General features: G+C 43.6%; 2 long non-coding RNA genes across 2 annotated transcripts in view; both read left to right on the top strand.

The window, feature by feature from the left end:
- Nucleotides 1-73: 73 nt before the first annotated feature.
- Nucleotides 74-16,167, top strand: LOC101929662 (uncharacterized). The gene is made up of 3 exons (NR_120670.1): nt 74-369; nt 11,936-12,141; nt 14,003-16,167. It is a non-coding gene; the product is annotated as an uncharacterized LOC101929662 (long non-coding RNA).
- A 635-nt stretch (nt 16,168-16,802) lies between these two features.
- The window catches only part of LINC01520 (long intergenic non-protein coding RNA 1520), a 42,410-nt gene continuing 38,854 nt past the window's right edge, over nt 16,803-20,358 (top strand). Inside the window, exons 1-3 of the long non-coding RNA NR_120671.1 lie at nt 16,803-17,387; nt 18,612-18,932; nt 20,082-20,281. This is a non-coding gene — a long non-coding RNA (long intergenic non-protein coding RNA 1520). The remainder of the gene's footprint in view (nt 17,388-18,611; nt 18,933-20,081; nt 20,282-20,358) is intronic.

Below are 20,358 nucleotides of genomic sequence, written 5' to 3' on the forward strand. Positions count from 1 at the left end.
CAGTATGCATGGGGAGACAGTGGGTGATGTGTCTGTAAAGTTATGGCATCATAAAGAAAAGTTATGACATCATGAAGAAAAGCCACCCTGGGAGCAAAGCAAGTTAGGGTTGTAAGAGACATTTCTGAGATTAAAGCAGCCAGATCTATGATGGGGTGGGTACGGGTGGTTAAAGAGAAACAGAACGTGAGAATGACTCATGAGACTATTAAACTGACTTAACTGAAATTTTAAAAAAGGGGGAAATACCAACTACGATGCACCCCCCCCACCCCCACCACACCATGTTTTAATGCTACTCAAGGTCTATGGCTGGGAAAGGCCACTTGTTTTTCTTCAGTTAATGCTGAGACTGTTTGTCTGCCAGAGGTAAGAATGTCCTGCTTGGTCAAAGAACATGCTAGGATTTTGGAAAAACAGAGGAATGGTTTATCTTCCGAGAGAATAGACCTAGATTCTGATACGCTATATGCTATTCCACCAGATCTGGGGAAAATTACAGTAAAACCTTTTTTTTTTTTAGAATTATCATGGGATATTTAACATTAACCAAGTCCCCTAGTTACGCTGAATGTGTCCACTGGGCCTGACATGGACTTCTTGCATGGGAAGCGTACATGAAGTCAGGCCAAGTTGTCCAGCTGCATTGGCAATGGCTGGCCAGGAAAGGCCAGGCTGGATCCCATTTCATTTGGGCATTTCGCGCCAGGCTGTTGTCCCGTCTGCAAAGGGGCTGCTGGCAAGAAGCATCCCCAAACACTCAGTTGCAAGGATATAAATTTCAGTGAGCCTTTTCAATATTCATGCAATTACCCCGGAAAGCACATTTGACATTTCATAAATACAGCAGAATATTTAGCATTTGTCTCTCCCTCTCTGCTACCTAAGCATACATGGGAAAATATTCCCCAGAGACCCTGCTGTCTGAAATGGCAACAGTTATTGAATCCATAAATTTGATGGATCAAAGTCTTCCTTCTTCATCCCTTTTGTAATTTATAAATGAAAGTGTGACCATATAAATAAGGTGGCAGGGTGTCCTTCCTCATGGAGCACAACCAGCCATTTCTTGCAACAGGCCAGCCTCCCGCCAGCTCTGCCTGCAGCTTTAATCCTTCACGTTTGAGTCTCCAAAGTGAGCTCACAAACCAATAGACCCCACACAGACCTGTGCCATGGCATGGGGGCCTGAGTGTGGAGGCCCCAGACACCCAGGCAGCAGTAGACAGTGCCAACGACAGGCTTGTGTTCCTGCCTCAGAGCCACCGAACACGATTTCAGTTTCCCAAGGACTCTGGGGGCTCTGCAGATGGATTGAGAGAACTCTGGGGCCTTGCACACAGCCCTCCCCATCCTCCCACAACCCACACAGGCTCAGGAATAAAAACTGCAGCTCTTCAGCAGCTCACCTGAGGGTGTATCAATGAGAGAAGCAAACCACCTTGCTTGACCCAAGCCTGGCCTTTGTGAGCCAGCGCTGAAGATAGAGCTTCTGTATCAGAACAGCCCATCTCACAGCTGCCCTGTGGCATCCCAAACATAGGCCAGATCTTCATGGACCTGGCTCCTCTCCCCAGGCAGGAAAGTAGTATCTCTCCTGTGTGCCTGACATGAAACAAGGTCCTCCTCTGCCACCAATAGGCTTATGAAGATAAATAAGTAATGCATATTTTTCTCTAAAAGAAGGAACAGGAGCCGTTTTCCATACATGAGGCAATAAGGCTGACCTACCTGAGAGTTATTTTCAGAGCTATGTAGCGAATTATTTTGACTTTTTTCAATATTAGAGATGAATTCTTAATGTGTAAAATGTGTGTTTATATACATGCATGCATACATACATATATAATATGTGTATGTATGCATACATACATGTACATATAATATGTGTATGTATGCATCTGTGGATATATGTGTGTGTCTAATAGTGTGGTGTATCTGAGATCAAGTTGATATATGTTCATGAATGTGTATATTAAAGATTATATGTATAATATATGAATGAGCATAAATGTTAATGCTATCCACAGATGTGTATAAAATTATTGTGTGTATTGGTATTTAAAACTGGTATTGGTATTGGTAAACACGACTGGTATTGGTATGTGCTTGTATATATGCAATAATGTAATGTGTATAGGAATGCATATATGCACACACGCATTCATATGAATGAATATGTGTACGTGAGTCTATGTAAGCGTAGTTTAAATGTAGTTTATATTTAGTTTGAATTTCTCTATAGCAAAATATGTGTCGGGCACTGTATTTTACATATATTAGTTTATTTTCACATCTTTAAAAATCTATAATTACTTTCATTTTAACTGATGCAGAAAGTTACTGTCAGAGAGAGAATGGTTTGTTCAGGATCCCACAGGCGGCAAAAGGCAAAGTGGAGATTAAATCCTTGGTCTGACACACTGTAGATAGACAGGGCTCCTAATATATATGTATATACACAAATATTCACATATGTTGTGTAGGTATGTGGGGTAGGGGTGTGCATGTGCACATATGTATGAAAGGGGTCTCCTGTGCAGGGTCTATGTGCACAGGATTCACCTGCATGCATATGTAGTCTAAGCCACCTCCTCTCATTGATCCATTTATTTTCCCGAAAGCCCTTTCTTCACCATCAGTCTCTTCACAGGATGATTGTCTATCTGTGACCCTTTGGCCCTTTTAAGTGCTGCTGCAACAGCAGATAACCAGATATGGGACCAGCCACTTTGGCAAGGCCACCTAATGCATCTAGTATGTTCAAGAGACCTGCAGAGCCAGGGGTTAGGAGGACCTGTGGTGCTGAGTGGCTCCAAAGTAGGCCCATCAGATTTCTCCAGTTCATGAAGAAAGTGGGCACCTTCAAGTGGAATGTCTTCATAAGGTCCCAAACGAGTTGCTAATCATAAAATGGGGACTGCTGTGTCTTCCACTCAAAGTAGCTGATGGAAGAAAGCCAGAGAAGATAAAAGTGTCTGGCATACAGCTATACAGATGCAGCGCTTTAAAAGTGTCCTCTCCTTGCTGTGGAGACACAGTACACTGCAGTAGTGCTGGCCAACAGGCAGGTGGATGTTTTACTATTCATCTTCTTTCTTTGAAACCATTACATTTTGCACACATGAGTTCACTTCCAGCCTGCATCTCCCTCTTTGGGAACTGCCCATAGTGCAGCAGCAGAGGCCCTGCAGCCATGTGGACACCATGTGATCTGCCTCCACTCAGAGACAAATGATTGGAGGAAGGGGAGCCTCCCACAGTAACACCAGTGAGATTCAGGCTCCAGGAACCTGGACTGAGGTGGAGGGGCTCTTGCAGGCTTCTGGAGCCCATTGGAACTGAGAGCCTCACTAGAGCAGGACTGAGGCACCCCTGGCATGCTGGGGTGAAGGAAGTTGTTTATAAAGGAAAACAAAAAATTTAGCTGGAAGAAACAGAATCAAGATACCATGTGGCCCCTAGAAGACAAGCAATGACCTTGCTTCTTAAATTTTCATTTCCATGTTCATTCCCTCCCAGACCTGGCTGTTACTCCTCAGGTTCCTTCAGGTAACTGCTATGTCCTTCCAAAAGCACCTCCCTTTTGCTTATAATATTCTGGATGCATTTCTATTCCTGTATTTTGCTTATAATATTCTGGGTGCTTTTCTGTTCAGTGATGCCTGAATTTTAAATGCTCAGCTGTGTCTGAGGCACTGAGTGTTCTAGAACATTCCTGCCACCCCTTTCACTGTTTTGACATTCCTATGATCTTAGTCTTTTTCACTAAGACTAGTTTATAGTCTTTATAGTCTTAGTGAAAAAGAGGCTGGAAAAAAACTCAAAAGGTTGGGATATCCTAATATCACCAAGTAAGAAAGGTGGCCCTGAACATTTATGATACATTGAAAGCCCCCAATTCAAAATATCCTCCTAATCAGCCATCCTTGTTTCTCCTGAAGATGTAGTATCTGCACATAGGATTCTAAAAAGACATTATACATGCAAATATCATGGGTGACATATGACATACACATGTAGCCAAGGGTGACAGCTGGCATCTCTCTGTTCCTTAATATTTAAATAAAATTGGTTCAAAAGTATATGCTTTTCTGTTCTGAAGTTTCATATTTGCCCATTCTTTGTGATTTCCCAGGGACTTCCTTTATTATGTCACCCAGTTTCTGCTCTCTGCTTATATTGATGCTCCCCTCCTTTGGTGATTGTCTTAATCTCTCACCTGGAACCCAGGCCCTGTCCCTTGATTTCTGGAAAACACCATTCCTGCAGACATTTTGGATTTGCAGCTGCTTTTCCTGAAGAGGCTCAGCAGTGTTGCTTAGCAAACAACCTAAAACTGAACCACACATACCTCGTCCTTTTCTCAGCAGCCTTGGAACGCCCTTTCCCCTGCACCCACAACTGTGCCAATCCCTCTGAGCAGGACAATACCTCCTGCTGCTCCCTTCTCCCACTATCTCACCTGCTTCTCCTCTGCCCTGCATCAATCTCCTTCTCTCCCACCCACGCTTCCCCCTTAATTCCTCTAAGCATGAACATTTAGCTTTCTTTGATAAACCCCCAACCCACTCAGACAATCCCCACGGGGCCTCCAATCATATCCATAAAGTCCCATTAAGGCTTGTTTTTAAACAAGCACAATTCTCTCCCTGAGTGGAATTCTGCTCCCAACATCCAAAATAACATTATTTCCCTCCCCCTTACACAGGCAGCTGAAGGAAACAAGACCCTCTTGAAGAGCTCGGGGACCTCCTTCTGTCCCCAGTCTCTTTTTCAGCTCTGTCCCAACACCTCTCTCCTGACAGCCTGCCTGCCCTTCTGCCCAGCTTCTCTCCATGTCGGCCTACAACAGCCTGGCTCCTTCCTGCAGGCCCTTCCTTCTTCCTGGAAGACCTGCCCTTTTCAGCTGTGAAATTCCCCTTCATCCTTCTAAACTCAACTCAAAAACTGCCTTATCTTGAGACTCCTCTCCCAATTCCCTGAACCCAAGAGGAATTAGACACTGCTGTCCCTGGGCTTTCTCAGACCTCTGTTTTCATGACAGGAGCAATTGCCCCTGTGGACAACAACATGCTCATACCAGCACCTTCCCCTTCCCAACAAGGAAACTTTTCAGTAGAGGCCAGGTCTTTTCCATCCCTCTATCTTTGTCATGAGAGATGACAAGTAATTACTTCTCTGATAGTGTCACATAAACAGATGTATAAATGAAGAACAGGTGACATTTATTTAATCACTCCCACCACCATATGTCAAGCAGTATTCTAGGCACCTGATAATGTATTCAGTTGTTTGAGTACCTATGTGTACTTCCTTACCACAACACTACAAGGCAGGAGAGAGCATTAGGTGTTTTTTATACCTGTATCATGGGACTCATCAATGTTGAGTTTATATAGAATCATCCAGGTAGAAAGGGCTGGAGCTGAAACCTGAACCCAGCCTAGAATCCTAACAATTATAGTGGACTCTGAAAGAAATGAAATTTTTTAAGGTCAAGGGGAAGAAAATGAAGGGTTTCTTCATGAACAGTGGTTTTAGGTTCATACAAAAGACATTTACTAGGGAACCATATTGATACTGTGCTAGAATCAAAAGGCACAAAGACACCTGTACCTTACTATATCTGTGACTATAGCTGTGACTACTATAGCTGTGACTTACTATAGCTGTGACTGTTGTAGCTGTGACTTACTATAGCTGTGACTGTTAGGTGCTCCGGAGCCAAATAACTTTAGTGGGAATTCCTGACCTGTCTTTCAACTGAGGTAAGAAGCACCTGTCATAAATACTCAGGACTCCATAAAGTACAACCATTTTTAATCTCACTGCTGTGTAACATAATGTCAGGAACACACACACACACACACACACACACACACACAATAATTACAGTCAGGCCTGGTAAATGCCACAGCTCTGTAGACTAATCTGAGGCCAATGGTTGTTACAGGAACTTGGGAACTTGAGGTATGCCTTGGCCATCCAGACAGGTCAGTAACCAGAGTGCTTTGGCCGTAGCCACAAAACAGAAGGATAAGCTCAGAATCATGATTGTGGGCCCCTGGCCCTGCTGAACTGGCCAGGTTGGGAGGAAGCTGACCCTTTCTCTAACACTTTAATGGCATGTGAATTATGTTCTCTTTGCCAAAAGAAGTGTTAGTCTCTTTGCTAAAATCACACTCTAAAGCTCTCATAAAAAAGATTCTAGTTCCATAAGCTAATATTGACATAAGGACAACGAGAAGCATATGCAAAGAGAGTTTATTTGAACCCGTGGGAACAAATGTTTCCTGCTCTCACTCATTAGAAACATCAGCAGTAGCCAATGTGGAGTTCCTTTCATGTATGTACAAGGAGAACAGGAGCATGCAGATGAGAGCACACATGAAGACAAGGGAAAGGACACTACTCTGGATAAAGCTGATCATGTTTTTGAGCCTTTTCTAAATAGTACTGATAATATATGATTGTATTAGTTAGCTATTGCTGCATAACAAAGCACAGCAAAATTAATGACCTAAATAGCACTCATATAGAATTTCTCAGGCAACAAGAAGATGGCTGGGTCATCAGCTTGAACCCAGCTCATGCATCTGTGGTCAGCTGGCCAGTTGTCTGGGGTTTGCTCATCTACAGTGACCTCAGCTGGAATGACTGTTCTGCTCTGGGTGGTTTTTCATTTTCCAGCAGGTTAATCCAGGCTTGTTCTCATGGTCATGGTAAGAGTTCAAGAGAAAAGGTGGAAACATGCAAGGTCTTTTGAGGTGTGGAACTAACACACTGTCAGCTCTATCACTTTCTTTTTCCTAAAACAAGCCACCAGGCCAGTCCAGATTTCTGGGGCAGGGAAGTAAATGTCGTCTCCTGATGGGAGAAGCAGAGGTCACTTGGCAAAAAATTTTCTACCCTGCTCAACAGTAACATGGTGAGAAATTAACTAACATTTGTTGAATGTTGAAGACTCACTATTACCTAGTTATTTTTTATCTCCACTTTTATGATGAGGGAACTAAAATTTAGGAAAGCAACTTGGCCAGGACCGGAAAGCTGGAAAGTAAAAGAGCTGAGGTTTGAAACAAGCCTGTGCCTTTTCTGTTTCACCAAATAGGCCTGACAGCTCTCTGTGCTCTTTAATATTGATGTAAAGAAGCAGGCATGCTTGACTTTGGGTGTTCACAAGGGATGTGTGACAGGAGGGAGGATTAGCCGAGACGCTGGGGAATAGGCAGTGTCCAGGCAAACAGGCTGGCACAATAGAAAGAAAAACGGCTTTGGAGTTAGACACTCCTGGGTCCAAACAGCTATAAATCTGTTTCCTCATTTGCAAGATGGTGATAGCAGCCCCCTTCTCACAAGACTGTGTGAAGAATAAATATGCTCTGAGCTACCTGGTTTCAGATGCAGGACCTATCACTGGCTGGGTGTTTGACCTCAGATAGGTCATTCTGCTTCCTTGAGCCTTGGTTTACTTATCTGTAGAATGGGCCTATCAAGGGTCCTTGTCTTATAGAGTTATTGTGAGGATTAAATGAATTCACTTCTGCAGAACATTTAGAATGCCTGACATGTAGTGATATATAATAATCAACATGCAAATATGCCTGTGCATTTACAGTGCCTTAGAGACAAAGGCAGTCATACAAGGCCAGTGTGCTGAACTCCATCGACGATCCGACAAAGGATTTGCTATGGAGTGAGCACTTCATAAATTGCACCTCCGCATATAGGGGCTGAGGGGCCTGACAGAATCAGATCTAGAGACAAACTCTGACTTCAGGTCCTGTTTGAGGAGTCAGTGCTTCTGTCCAACTCAGAGGGAAGCAATGGAAATGGGTTTCAAAGCCATTTTATGTGCAGGTACTCAGAGAGAACTTGCTCTTCCAGAGATAGAATTGTCATGCTTTTGGAAGGCACACAGCCCAGAGGGCTGTCATGTGTAGTTGAAAAGTAGGGAGATAAAAGCATTATCAGGGAGAAAACTAGTCATTTTACAGTCACACATACATACACAAATATGCACACATACATACACACATATACACATATACATATGCACACTCACATTTCTATCTGGATAGTTGATGGTATTTGAGTGGAAAATATACCAAAAGAAATAAATAGGCTGAAGTGTATCCAACCCTCAAAATTCATGTGCCAAAATACTCATCCCCAATGTCTCAGAATGTGACCATATTTGGAAAGAAGGCTTTTAAAGAGGTAATTAATGGGAAAGTAAAACGAGGTCATATAGATGGGCCCTAATCTAATACGACTGGTGTCCTTAGAGGAAGAGGAGATGAGGACACAGACATACACAGAAGGAAGACCATGTGAAGACACAGGGAGAAGGTGGCCATCTTCAAGCCAACGAGAGATGCCTCAGGAGGAGCCAACCCTGCTGACACCCTGATCTCAGCCCTTCAGCCTCCAGGGGTACAAGAGAATGAATTTCTGCTGCTTCAGCCACTGTCTGTGGAACTTGGTTATGGGAGACTAATACAGTCAATAATTGGCCATTGACTTTATATAAAATGTCAATAAAAGAATGTGGGACTCCTAGACCTAGTTTGTTTTCCCCAGGCCAGGAGAGCTGTGAATTATTATTTTTAATTGTTGCATAATAATTGCCCATATGTATGGGCATGTGTGATATTTTGTTACATGCATAGAACATGTCATGATCAAGTCAGGGTATTTAGAATATCCATCTCCTCAAGCATTTATCATTTCTGTGGAGCTGTGGACTCTTCATGAAAAGTATGGAGGGGCTGGCCTGCAGAACCAGGGGCCAGGGTAGGGGGAGAGCTGGAGACACACTCCCATCCTTCTCCCCACACAAAGTCCTTTGGACACAACCATGCCGCTCTGGTTGAACCCTTATTTCTAGGACCCTCCCCAGTCTGTGTTCATGGTCAGCTTTGGCCTCAGCCCATGCCCTGGATTTTCCACTGTGGCATCCTGCTCCTCCCACACCTGCCTTCCCTCTCTCCTCCCGCGGGACTCACTCAAATCTGACTGAGAGACTACTGTGTGCCACCCCCTGCTGTCTCTGCATCTCCCTACTTTTGGGTCTGAAGAAGTGTGAGGACAGAGTATTATGTGCACACCCATAATGCCTGCCGAGTCTTCAGGGTCCCTTGGCTTGTAACTCACTTCACATGAATATGAACAAGTTGATATTTTTAAGGTTAATGACCCAGTTGCTTATGAGACAGGCAGGGTTTGAAATTAAGCAGCTCATATGAACCGGAAGCCTGTGAAACAACCTTTATTATGCGGCTCGGCAGTATCTGAGAAAACTAATTCATCCTTTGGCACCGATACAACCATCCAAGACTCGTGTTCTCCAGCTAATTTACACTTTGGAAAAAAATTCCCCAAGTCTTCTCACTTCAGCAAGTGTCTCACGTTTTTTTTTTTAATTTAATTGTGTACATCAGGACTCAACTGGTTGCAGTTGCTGAAAGTAAGCTTAGCTTACTTACCTATAGGGCAATAGAAATAAATTGCCCTAAACAGAATGGGCGGCAGTGAACAATATTCAGCAACTATGCTGATTTACAACACAGATAAAAATTGTCCTTTTTTCACCAGTCATAATTAACATTGGCAGGTTTTCAATTATACTACAAGTAGCATATCGTCTATTTTCTCATTTCTTCTTAATTTTAAGAGGCTGTGATTTTTCCATCTTTTTGCACATCTCCTCACTCTTGTCAGTCCACTTTCCTGTCTGTAAGATGGGTCCTGAGCTAATGCAGCCACCCCAAAAAGTGAAAATTAAAAATCCAAACTGAGTTCTGTCAAATACCAACTCTGTACAGGATTGGGCCTCGCCGGCTACCTGCTGTTTCCTAATGAAGAGGAGCATGCTGAATTTTACCTCCCTATTTGATGGTCTATTTTTTTCCTTTTAAAAATTGTTTTATTATTTAAAAATAACAATAATGCATAGTAGTTCTACCATATTCTAAAATTCAGAGTTATAAAAATATTATTGAATCTTCTCCCCATCTCCTAATCCCACCTGAGTTAAACAGCATTTGCAGTGTCTATCCTTGCCTTTCTCTCTAATCATATGAAGATAGATGATAGATAGATAAATAGATAAATAATAGATAGATATGCACATAAAAGCCTTTTTCATTTTTAATTGTTTTACAGAAGTGTGATGATGCTATTCACATGACTGAACCCTTTGATTTTTGTAGTCAATGACTGCTAAATCCCTCTGACCCACAAACATGCACCTCATTTTTCCCTTTTAACTGTAGCATAAAATTTGATAGTAAGAATGTTCTGTGGCTTAATCAACCATTCCCCTCTGGTAGATATTTAGGTTGTTTTTTTTATCTCTGTGCTTTCTCTTTTGAATACTGCAAACATTACTGTGATAAATGTTGTACTCATGTTTGTAATATCACCTTCCAAAAGGTCAACATATATAGATACTTTCAGCTGCACTCTGTACACTGATATTATTTTCCTTAAAAGTTACAGCAATTTACAGTTAATCAGCAATGTGTTCTTCATATCTTATTTCACTTAGCTATTATCTATCTAAACAACATATCAAGAGTGGGAGTCCTTGACATATTCAGGAAAGTGACCTTTCGTGCTACATGCAATTTGGATTTTCAGCTACCTATGAATGCCTCGAAATTTTCTTTTCACTTAATTTCACTTTTGTTCTTTCACTTGCAAGAGACTTGATTAATACATCATATATTTTGCCATACATAGTATTTTTATTATAAGTTTTCTTCTCTAAAGTATGCCCTCATCCAAAAATTGTACAATTATTCTCCTAAATTTTCATTTAGATTTTCATTTGTTGGGAAGTTTTTTTTTCCTCCATTGGCTTTAGATATAAGCACGCTAAAAGGTTAAGATTTTCTTGATAGCAGGGAGGCATTAGGAATGTTTACACATCTGTATCATCCTCAATGCCCTCTACTCAGTGTTTCACAAAAGAAGGGCTCAGGAGACATCTGTTTAAGAAAAGAAAGGAGAAAAGATTGAAAGAAGAAAGGAAGAAAAGGAAGAAAAAAATGGAAGGAAAGAAGGAAGAAGAAAAGAATGAAGGAAAAAGGGAAGGAAGGAAGGAAGGAAGGAAAGTTTCCCTAGAAAAGAAGGAAAAAAGATGAAAACATGTTTATAATCTTTTAGGAAAAAAACATTTTTCTATATTACCCAAGATGGTGATGTTAGTCCCTGGGTCTTTCATAACTCTTGTATTTGTTAAGATTTAAGATTTTCTCCTTTTTTCCTTGCTTTCTTCTATATTTTTTTCCTTTCTTTTCTTCAACAAGTATTCCTGAGTGGCCTCTACTGATGGTGACTATTCTTCTATATTCTCACTTCCCTCTTCAGAAGTTCTGGCATGCGGGTCACACATATTTGAGTTTAAAATCCTTGATCAATCACCTACAAGCTGGTTTTCCTTGGAAAAGTAGTCTGGCATCCCTGGGCTTGTTCCACCCACCTGTAAAATGTGGCTAATTGGCACCACCCTTACAGATCAGTCATGGGACTTCATTGGGATTACAGGGCAAAGGCCCTGACCCAGGAGGTGCAATACAGATGGCCCTAGGCTGACTTTGTTCAATTAGTCCTGCCCCCAGATTTCCTTTGACTGCCCCATTCTAACACATTGGGAAAAAGAGGAAACACCGGGCCCTGGGGATGTTCTCGCACATCTCACCTCCTTTTCCCCTCTCCTCTCACACCTCATGTGTGTTGGAGCCCACAGCGTGCCAGGGACCAAGCTGCTTTCTTCTGTGTCATGGATTGCCACATAGGATTTGCCATCCCTTCATGTTTTCTGGGTCATAGAACTCCTTGAGAAATCGACGAATGCTTTAGATCCTGTCCTCAGGAAAAAAATAAATATAAACGCCTCCATTACTATGTAATTTCTGTGTCACAGACACCCCATAGAGGATCCATCCTTAGACCTCAGTTAACGGCCTGGATCTGGAAAGTGGTGGCTTCAAACAAATCCAGCCCCTGCATCCTCCAGAGATCACAGCTGACATAGAATGTATGTGTCTGCGGCAGGCAGCCATGTGTGCATCAGCCAGCAGCCTCCCCATCAGCACCCTACAGTGGAATTGTGGGGCTTCCCCCAACAGCGTGAGTGGTAATGCCCATGGTGGGCTTGGCAGAGGTGACTGCCCATTCTCCATCAGCCAGGCCTGGACAGGGGTGGAGGGAGAAGGGAAGGTGCCCAGAGAGTTTCACATGTTTTTTCTCTCTTATGCTTACTTGGCAGTTTGTCAGTTAGTAAGGAAAAATGAAAAGTGGCTATCTTATTTAAGTGACTATATTATTTAACCCCCATAACAGCCCTGAATGAGCTTGTTATCATTCTTCCAGATTAGGGATGGAGGTGTCTGGGAGAGGATATGACTTGGTTGAGGTAACATCAATAGCAAGAGGTGGAAGGGATCATATCCATGCCCAAAGCCCGTGCTTTAATATTCCAGTGTGGTTTAGTCAAATCCAGACTGCTGCATGTTCTAGGACTCAACAATCTAATAAAATTAAGAAGCTAACCAAAGAGAAGAAAGGAGCCACCCACCCTCAGGAGCAGTTTTCTAAACATCTAGGGACATATCCAGAGGACCCAATGTTAAGGCAACACAAAAGAGGCCTTACTGACCACGAAGACTCTAGAGGCAAGGATCTAAATGAATGAAACTGAGTGTGACCTTGGGGAAAAGTCTCAATGAATCTCATTACAGACACAACGGTGCCTGTCCAAGTTCAATCAGACAAGTATTGGTGTGCGACTTCCCTCCCAGAGCCAGACCTGTGCTGGTGCTAGGGATAGAAGGATAAATAACACATGGTCCTGGTCTCCAAAGGGCTCACAGACTCACAAGAGGAAGATAAGTGCAATGCAAAGTAAGAAGGTGTCTGCAAGATGCTGCAGGGGGTAAAGAGAGAAAGTAATTGTGCTAAAGAGTGGTAAAAATCCCCTACAAGATGTTAATATGACAGCTGGGTATTTTCAAAAATGTAGCAGTTTGCCGTGCTTAGAAAAGAAAAAGGGAGAGACATTCCAGGCAAAGGAAAGATCATGAAAATGAATAGCTTATGCATTAGTAACAACATGTCTAAAATGTCAGTGGCTTATCACAACAAAGATTTTCATCAGTTGTAGATCCACATCTTCAAGGAGAGTCTGGGATGGGGTTGGCAGCCTGGATGCTGCTCCACACCACGATTAAGGGACCTAGGCTGAGTGGATGACCTCCAAGGTCACAGGCCAGGAAGAGTCTGGACAAAGAGAAACAGCTGTTAATAACTCAGCCCAGAAGTGACACACTTTATTCTCACTCTTCTTCATTGGCTAGAGCTAGTCATTGAACCCCACCTAACTGCAAGGGCACTGGAAAATGTTTTCTTCCTAGAGAGCAGAGCCACAACCCAGTGAACACTGGCTGTGTCTTATGAAGTTTTGGGAAAACGTGACTAGTGGGATTTGTTGGATCATGGTTATATGTTGTGTGCATACCAGGACAGTGTGTGCTTAATACATGTTTTAGAATCTTTTTTTGTCCATGCTTTCTGCAAACCAATTTACCCTGATAATTAGGAAAGGGTCATATATGTTTGTATAAGAAATGAGCAGCCGAGTGTGGTGGGTGGCTCACGCCTGTAATCCCAACACTTTGGGAGGCCAGAGGCGGTTGGATCACCTGAGGTCAGGAGTTTGAGACCAGCCTGGCCAACATGGTGAAACCCTATCTCTACTAAAAATAGAAAAATTAGCCAGGTGTGGTGGCACATGCCTGTAGTCCCAGCTACTCAGGAGGATGAGGCAGGAGAATCGTTTGAACCTGGGAGGCGGAGGTTGCAGTGAACTATCATGCCACTGCACTCCAGCCTGGGCGACAGAGTGAGACTCTGTCTCAAAAAAAAAAAAAAAAAAAAAAAGAAAGAAAGAAAGAAATTAGCAAAAACTAAATATTCTCTTTCATGTTCACAGACCCTCCAAAATCAAGAAAATATTTCAAGGAAATGACACGTGGAGAGGACATGCAGGACAAGTGATGAGAATAATCTTGTTCTGAAAAACCCTTGTTCTGAAGACAAGCTTGCTAAATGCTTGGAAACCTGGTTTCCAAACAGCACCTCTGACTGATGTCTGGAAATCATCCTACCCTCTCTGAATCTTGCAATAGGCTTCTCCAACTGACATCTTTCACTGCATCATGAGGTAGTAGCTCCTCTGAGTCACTTCCCAGCTGGGACTGGGTTTGCTCAGCCCAGCCACTCTGCCTCTCCCACCCCTCCTGCAGCACCACCATTACCCACTTTTTTTTTTTTTCTGGTTTCTGTAGAGCAGCCTGGTCCCTCATAGACTCGAATTCTCTCACCACCAAGACACTGGGCTAAGCAAGCTCTCTCCTGGCCTGCAGCACCTTGGTATTCTCAGCCTCACACTTGAGGGCATTTTTATTCTTTTCTTTGCAGTCATTTTGTCTTTTCACTGGAACTTATCTTCCCTGCTTCTCAAGTCAAGAGTGGTACCATAAGAAAACCATGCCTTGTTTCTGCCAGCCTCAGCTCTAAGCAACTCCCACCTGAACCGCTGCAAGAACCTCCCAACCATCCCCTCCACACCTAGGCATGCACTTTCTAATCTATTTTCTATACCTCAGCTACAACCAAAGCCACAGAACACAGCAGCTAAAGGTGCAGCCTTCAGAATCACCCCAAGTTCTAGCTATTTCGCTTCTTTCAGCCTTCCTATCTGCAAAGTAGGGATGATCATTAGATTTACCTTGTTCAATGGTTGTGATTGCTAAATGCAACAATGTGCAGGGTACTCAGCAAAGTTGCTACCACAGTGCAAGTGCTCCATATATTTTACCTATCATTATCATCATCTTCAACATCATTACCATTGCAGACCCCATGTGCTTAGAATTGGCCCAGCTTCTCCTGGCAACTGGACAGAGAACAGCATGAACCACCATGGCTTCTTGCACCACACTTCGAAAAAGGAAATATTATTGCTCCAAGATCCTGCCCACAAGACCCACACTGGCATGTCAGTGAGACTGTGATCATCATTGTGGGCACCATCATAGTTGCATAACAACAATTGGCCATTGGATTGCACAATATGGCACAGAGAGCCACCTCTAGGGAGTCTGAAACCCCATGTCCATGATTGAAGGTGATTTTGAGATGTGGGAAGAGCAAGCAGGTATCAATGATGAAATCTAGGTGCTCAGAAACAGGGCAGGCAAAACAATTGCATGAACCCACAAACCTCCACAGTGTCTGTAATGTGTAGTCCACTTTTGTGGCACTACATTTTATCTCAGAGATACAACTAATCTCAGTCTCTTTATCTGCCAAGTTTCCTGAATCCTTCTTTCCAGGATGAATAAATTTCCTGGCAAAACAAGACCCAGGGGAAAGTTTTGAATCCATATAATAATATATCACTGCATTTGTCACGAACTCTTGATTCAACAGAACTGATTTTGTGCGCTTAGTCCTTGCCCTGGGGATAGAACATGAACAAGAGAGAAAGGGGCCTGCTCTCATGGTCTTATCCTTTAGCAAGAGAGATAATAAACAGGTAAAGACATAAATAAATAATAGACCTTCGGAGGATGGTAAGATCTACAGATAAAAATATAACAGGGTAATGAGCTAGAGAAGGTTAGAGAAAGGGAGGATTGCTGGGAAGATGGAAGGGGCTGCATGTGGCCACTGGGAAGATGTAAACATTTGTAACCAGGTCTGTTGTGCATGGAACAAGGACACACAAACAGGGTAGTATGGAGAAAGGACAAAGTGACATGTGCTGGCACCAAGAAGGAGCTCCAGAAATGATGGGTGTTATGTTAGAATCTACTGGGTGTCATCAAGGGTGACCCAGGTACAGATCCTCTGGACTCGGGGGGAAAAAGAGCCAGACAATTAGACAAATTGGAGGCACCCCTTCCCAGGAGACGGCCCTTTTGAGCAAGCTGCCAGTGACTGTCCCCTACATTCAGAGATGCTGCTGCCTGAGCTGCCAGGTTTCAAATGCAAAGGGCTGGCTGGGAATCAAGAGGCCCTTCTTCTCACGTTAAAGCGTAGCAGTCTGTTCTGTTCTCCTGTCATGTCATAAATAAAGGAGCCTTGATCTCATAAAATGGGCATCTCTGGCTTTGTTGTAAGTGAAGTGCCTGAGGACAGATGATTGTAGCTGCACAGGATAACTGAACATAGAGGAATGCGACCACCTCAGTGTACCAGGGAGTGCTCTAGAGAGGAGTAGCCAGCAGCCTCCAGGGTGCTCCAGAAACCTACATGAAAACGACCAGGCCAGAACATCTGGTGAGGTCAGAGCTGAGTCCATGCACCTCAGAGCTTTTGTTCTTCCTGACTAATTGTGCTCCTGCTGGTGTCACAGATCAGAGAAGAGGTGCCAGGGACATGGGGTACAGGAAGCACAGGTTAACTAGAGCACATTCGCACACAAGCACAAGAAAAGCAATTAGGAAAGGCCAGCAGGCGATCCACCTGGCCTTCAGCCTCTTCTCTCGGTGTCTTCCCAGGGTCTGGGAAAGGTTTGCCTGTTTCCTGTGAACTGAATCACAGGCAGCTCTAAAGGCAGGGAGACCCCTGAAATGCCTGACTGAGATTCTGGGAGGAGATTCTTAAAAGTGAGTGTCAGCATTAATAGCTCAGTGTGATTCTCTTCTCAGGAAAATGTTCACAAATTTCATTTTGCTCTCAAAAGGACCGATGGCCCCCAAAAACCTTCAGAGACAGAGCTCTTACGACTTTACTGTGCCAGATGTCATCCCAAGTCCAGAAACCATGTCTCAGGGGAGGAATCTTTTTACTGAAGGGGCATGAAGAGGGGAAAGAACACTGGCCCTGGGTCCAGCATTGTATCAGCTGCTTCACATCCAGCATCTAATGCAGTTGCCCCATCTAATGCTCAAGCTGTAACGCTACCTTAGTTTCTCCAATTAACAGATGAGAGGGCCAAAGCTCCAAGTAGTTGGGCAGGTTGCCCAGGATGGATGCATACGTAGAAGATAGAACAACCCAGAGTGGTGTGATTCCAAACCATGCTTTCTCCATTGCATCACAGTGATCTTTAAGATCACCAGCAGAGTGGACTGGGACTTCAGGGTAAGATCACATCAAGATATCAAGTCCAGAGAGGCCAACCCCACACCGTTCACATGATCTCTGAAACAATTTTCAAGAACAGCACTGTGAATTCAACTCGACACTCTTCCATCAAGCAAGGACGGAAAACTCCAAATGACTGCAAGACAAGAGCTCCCAGGAAACACAGAATTCCAGAGCAGATTCTTCTTTTGAAGTTTCTGTGAATAAAATCTCATAATCAGGTGGGGCTTTGAGCTGCCCTCTCCTTAAAGGTAACTTCCAGCCCTGTGGTTCTAGATTGGGTTCCGACTCAGTGTGGGGATTTTTTTTTTTTTTTTTTTTTTTTTTTTTGAGATGGAATCTCACCCTGTCGCCCAGGCTGGAGTGCAGTGGCGCGAACTTGGCTCACTGCAAGCTCCGCCTCCCAGGTTCATGCTAGTCTCCTGTCTCAGCCTCCTGAGTAACTGGGACTACAGGTGCCCGCCACAATGCTCGGCTAATTTTTGTATTTTTAGTGGAGACAGGGTTTCACCATGTTAGCCAGGATGGTCTTGATCTCCTGACCTCATAATCTGCCCGCCTTGGCCTCCCAAAGTGCTGGGATTACAGGCGTGAGCCACCACACCTGGCCAGTGTGGGGGTTTTTTAAACATGTAAGTGCCTGGGTGGGTCAGTGAATAACATTCCTGCTGGCATAAGATTCTAGCAAAATTAAGACCTTTAAGAGTATAGCTTTTATCTCATTCAAATCCCATTTTCACAGATAGGAGAACTGGGGCAGAACTGGCAAACAACCTATCCAATGTTGTACCGTTTTTGGTGCCTGGAGTTGGCCAAGCTGGAAGTCAGATCTAGCTTTGACTTGTTCAGTGGGAAGGACTTCTTCCTTTTTGCATGCCTTACTTTCTCATACCATTTCCTGGCTCTGAGGGAAAGCTAGAGTGTCTTGTTTCACAGTTCAGTGTTATCTCTGCACTTACAACAAAGTACTGTGGAAAGAGCATGGCCTGGAAGTCCCAACAGTCTGGAATGAAGTTTTCTCTGCCAAGGCTGTCCACTGATCCGACCCTCAGTCTCTTCCTATGGTAATGGGAAAAAACAATGTCTATGATATAGGGTAGTTGTAAGGAGACAATGAGATCAAGCACACAGAGCACTTAATAGGTCCTCAATGGATGTTAGGTATCTCTTATAATATTCCAACATCAATTGTGACTGCAGCTCAGCCGGCAGGGCCAGCTTATAGTTTGTGACACTGCACTGCTGGCCCCAAGTGGAATTCCTTGCCCTTGGGCTGGTCACGTGCTCTTCCCTTGCCAGTTGCTCTTTAAGAGGAACCAATTTCGCACTTCCAGATAGATCCACACTCCAAATTGTGTTTGTTTTAAAATAATGAATAGTGGCATTATTATCCTCACTGCTCTCTGGGGAACTCTGTGCCAAATGTACGTCTTTTGCATTAGTAGAGCTTCACTGCAGCAGATAAATGGGCCAGCGCCTGAGCTCAAATGCACGGAAGCAAGGAAGACCCACCCCGCCTGTCTCCCACCTCTCTCGGTGAAACCTTCCCAGATGGCTGCCAGAAAGGCTTCAGATTCTTGGGGAAGCAGTCAAATGTTTCAGCAGCCATTTGACAAGTCTGTCATCCTCCTGCCTCTCCCTGACTCTCAGATGATGTCCATAGAGAATGGAGCTGTTGAGGAAGCCAGAAAGGAACTGAGGAAGTGACAAATAGATTCTTGTATAAAACAAACCAACAAAAATTTTATGGGTGCATTGAATGCCAGGTAAGCTCAAGATGCTCAAATGAGATATGGTTATTTCCAGTGATGTCAGCAATGAAATCCCTGATCAGAGCAATCATAAGCCAGGGGAGTCCTGGTTCAGCCAAGTTGCTTTTCCTTTTGTGATCTGGAACAAGATGCTACATCTCTTTGTTCTCTTGATAGTGAGGAATACATGAGGCTCACCATGAGACTTCTGTTGCTTTTTATTATTATCATTTATTTGCTTTTTTTTTTTTTTTTTTTTAGATGGAGTCTTGCTCTGTCGCCAGGCTGGAGTGCAGTGGTGCAATCTCAGCTCACTGCAACCTCCACCTCCCAGGTTCAAGTGATTCTCCTGCCTCAGCCTCCCGAGTAGCTGGGACTATAAGCACGCACAACCATACCCAGCTAATTTTTGTATTTTTAGTAGAGGCAGGGTTTCCCCATGTTGACCAAGATGATCTCAATCCCTTGACCTCGTGACCCACCCGCCTCAGCCTCCCAAAGTGCAGGCGTGAGCCACCGCACCCGGCCTTCTGTTGCTTTTAAGAGAGGAAATAGAGGCTCTTCTTCTTGCTTCCTAGTCCTTCCCCTTGGGTGGGTGAAGGTGAGAATCATCTACCATTAGTCTGGTAGGACAGGCCTGCCCAGTATGTGTGGTCCTATGCTGAGTTCAGGTCTCTGTGTTGAATGCCATCTTCCCTGCCACACTGAAAAGGAAGATTTGGCTGGGACAGGTCTGAGCCCATCATAAGGGTGGCAAAACAGAAAATCCATTCAGTTAATGCTTCTGATGATACAGAGGCTTCCAATGCACACTTTTTGACCCACACATTTATGTTCAGTACAATTACACACAGTCATAGAGCTAACTTGGCTGGCTGAAGGAAGAAGACACCCATCACACAACTTTAAATGTGAGAGAAGTCAAAGCTTTTTATACAAAAATACCTTCTCCATTCCCACACTAAGCCTCCTGGAGCACCATCTTGTAATATTGGCTACATGAGGTTTTTTGTTTTGTTTTGTTTCTTTAATTCTGGGATTATATTTTACAATTTTATCTTTGCCTTATATTTGTTAAAGACACTAATTTGTTTAAAGTAAGCATGTAATGTCTATAAATTCTATGACCCTCTTTTCAATTTCTTTGTGTTTTTGATGTATCAGGAGACTCAAAAATAGAAGTGCCTTGGATCTCTGTCAACCTCTAAGGGGTCCCATGGGAGTGTGCCTCTCCTCCTTCCTCTCAATTGCATTCCCCAGCATCTGTCTCCTGTGAGAGATGCTTCCCATCTCTGGCATTCTACTCTACTTCATCCTGTGTGTGACCGCCCCAGAACTGTGGAATGGAGTTCCAAGACACAGAGGTAGGTTTTCAGGTGGAGGTGGTAAGAGCAGGTGACCCGCCCAAGGTCAGGAATCTCCTTAAATTCTGACGAACATT

This window comes from Homo sapiens, chromosome 10 (assembly GCF_000001405.40).
Source record: "Homo sapiens chromosome 10, GRCh38.p14 Primary Assembly".
NCBI classification, from domain to species: Eukaryota; Metazoa; Chordata; class Mammalia; order Primates; family Hominidae; genus Homo; species Homo sapiens.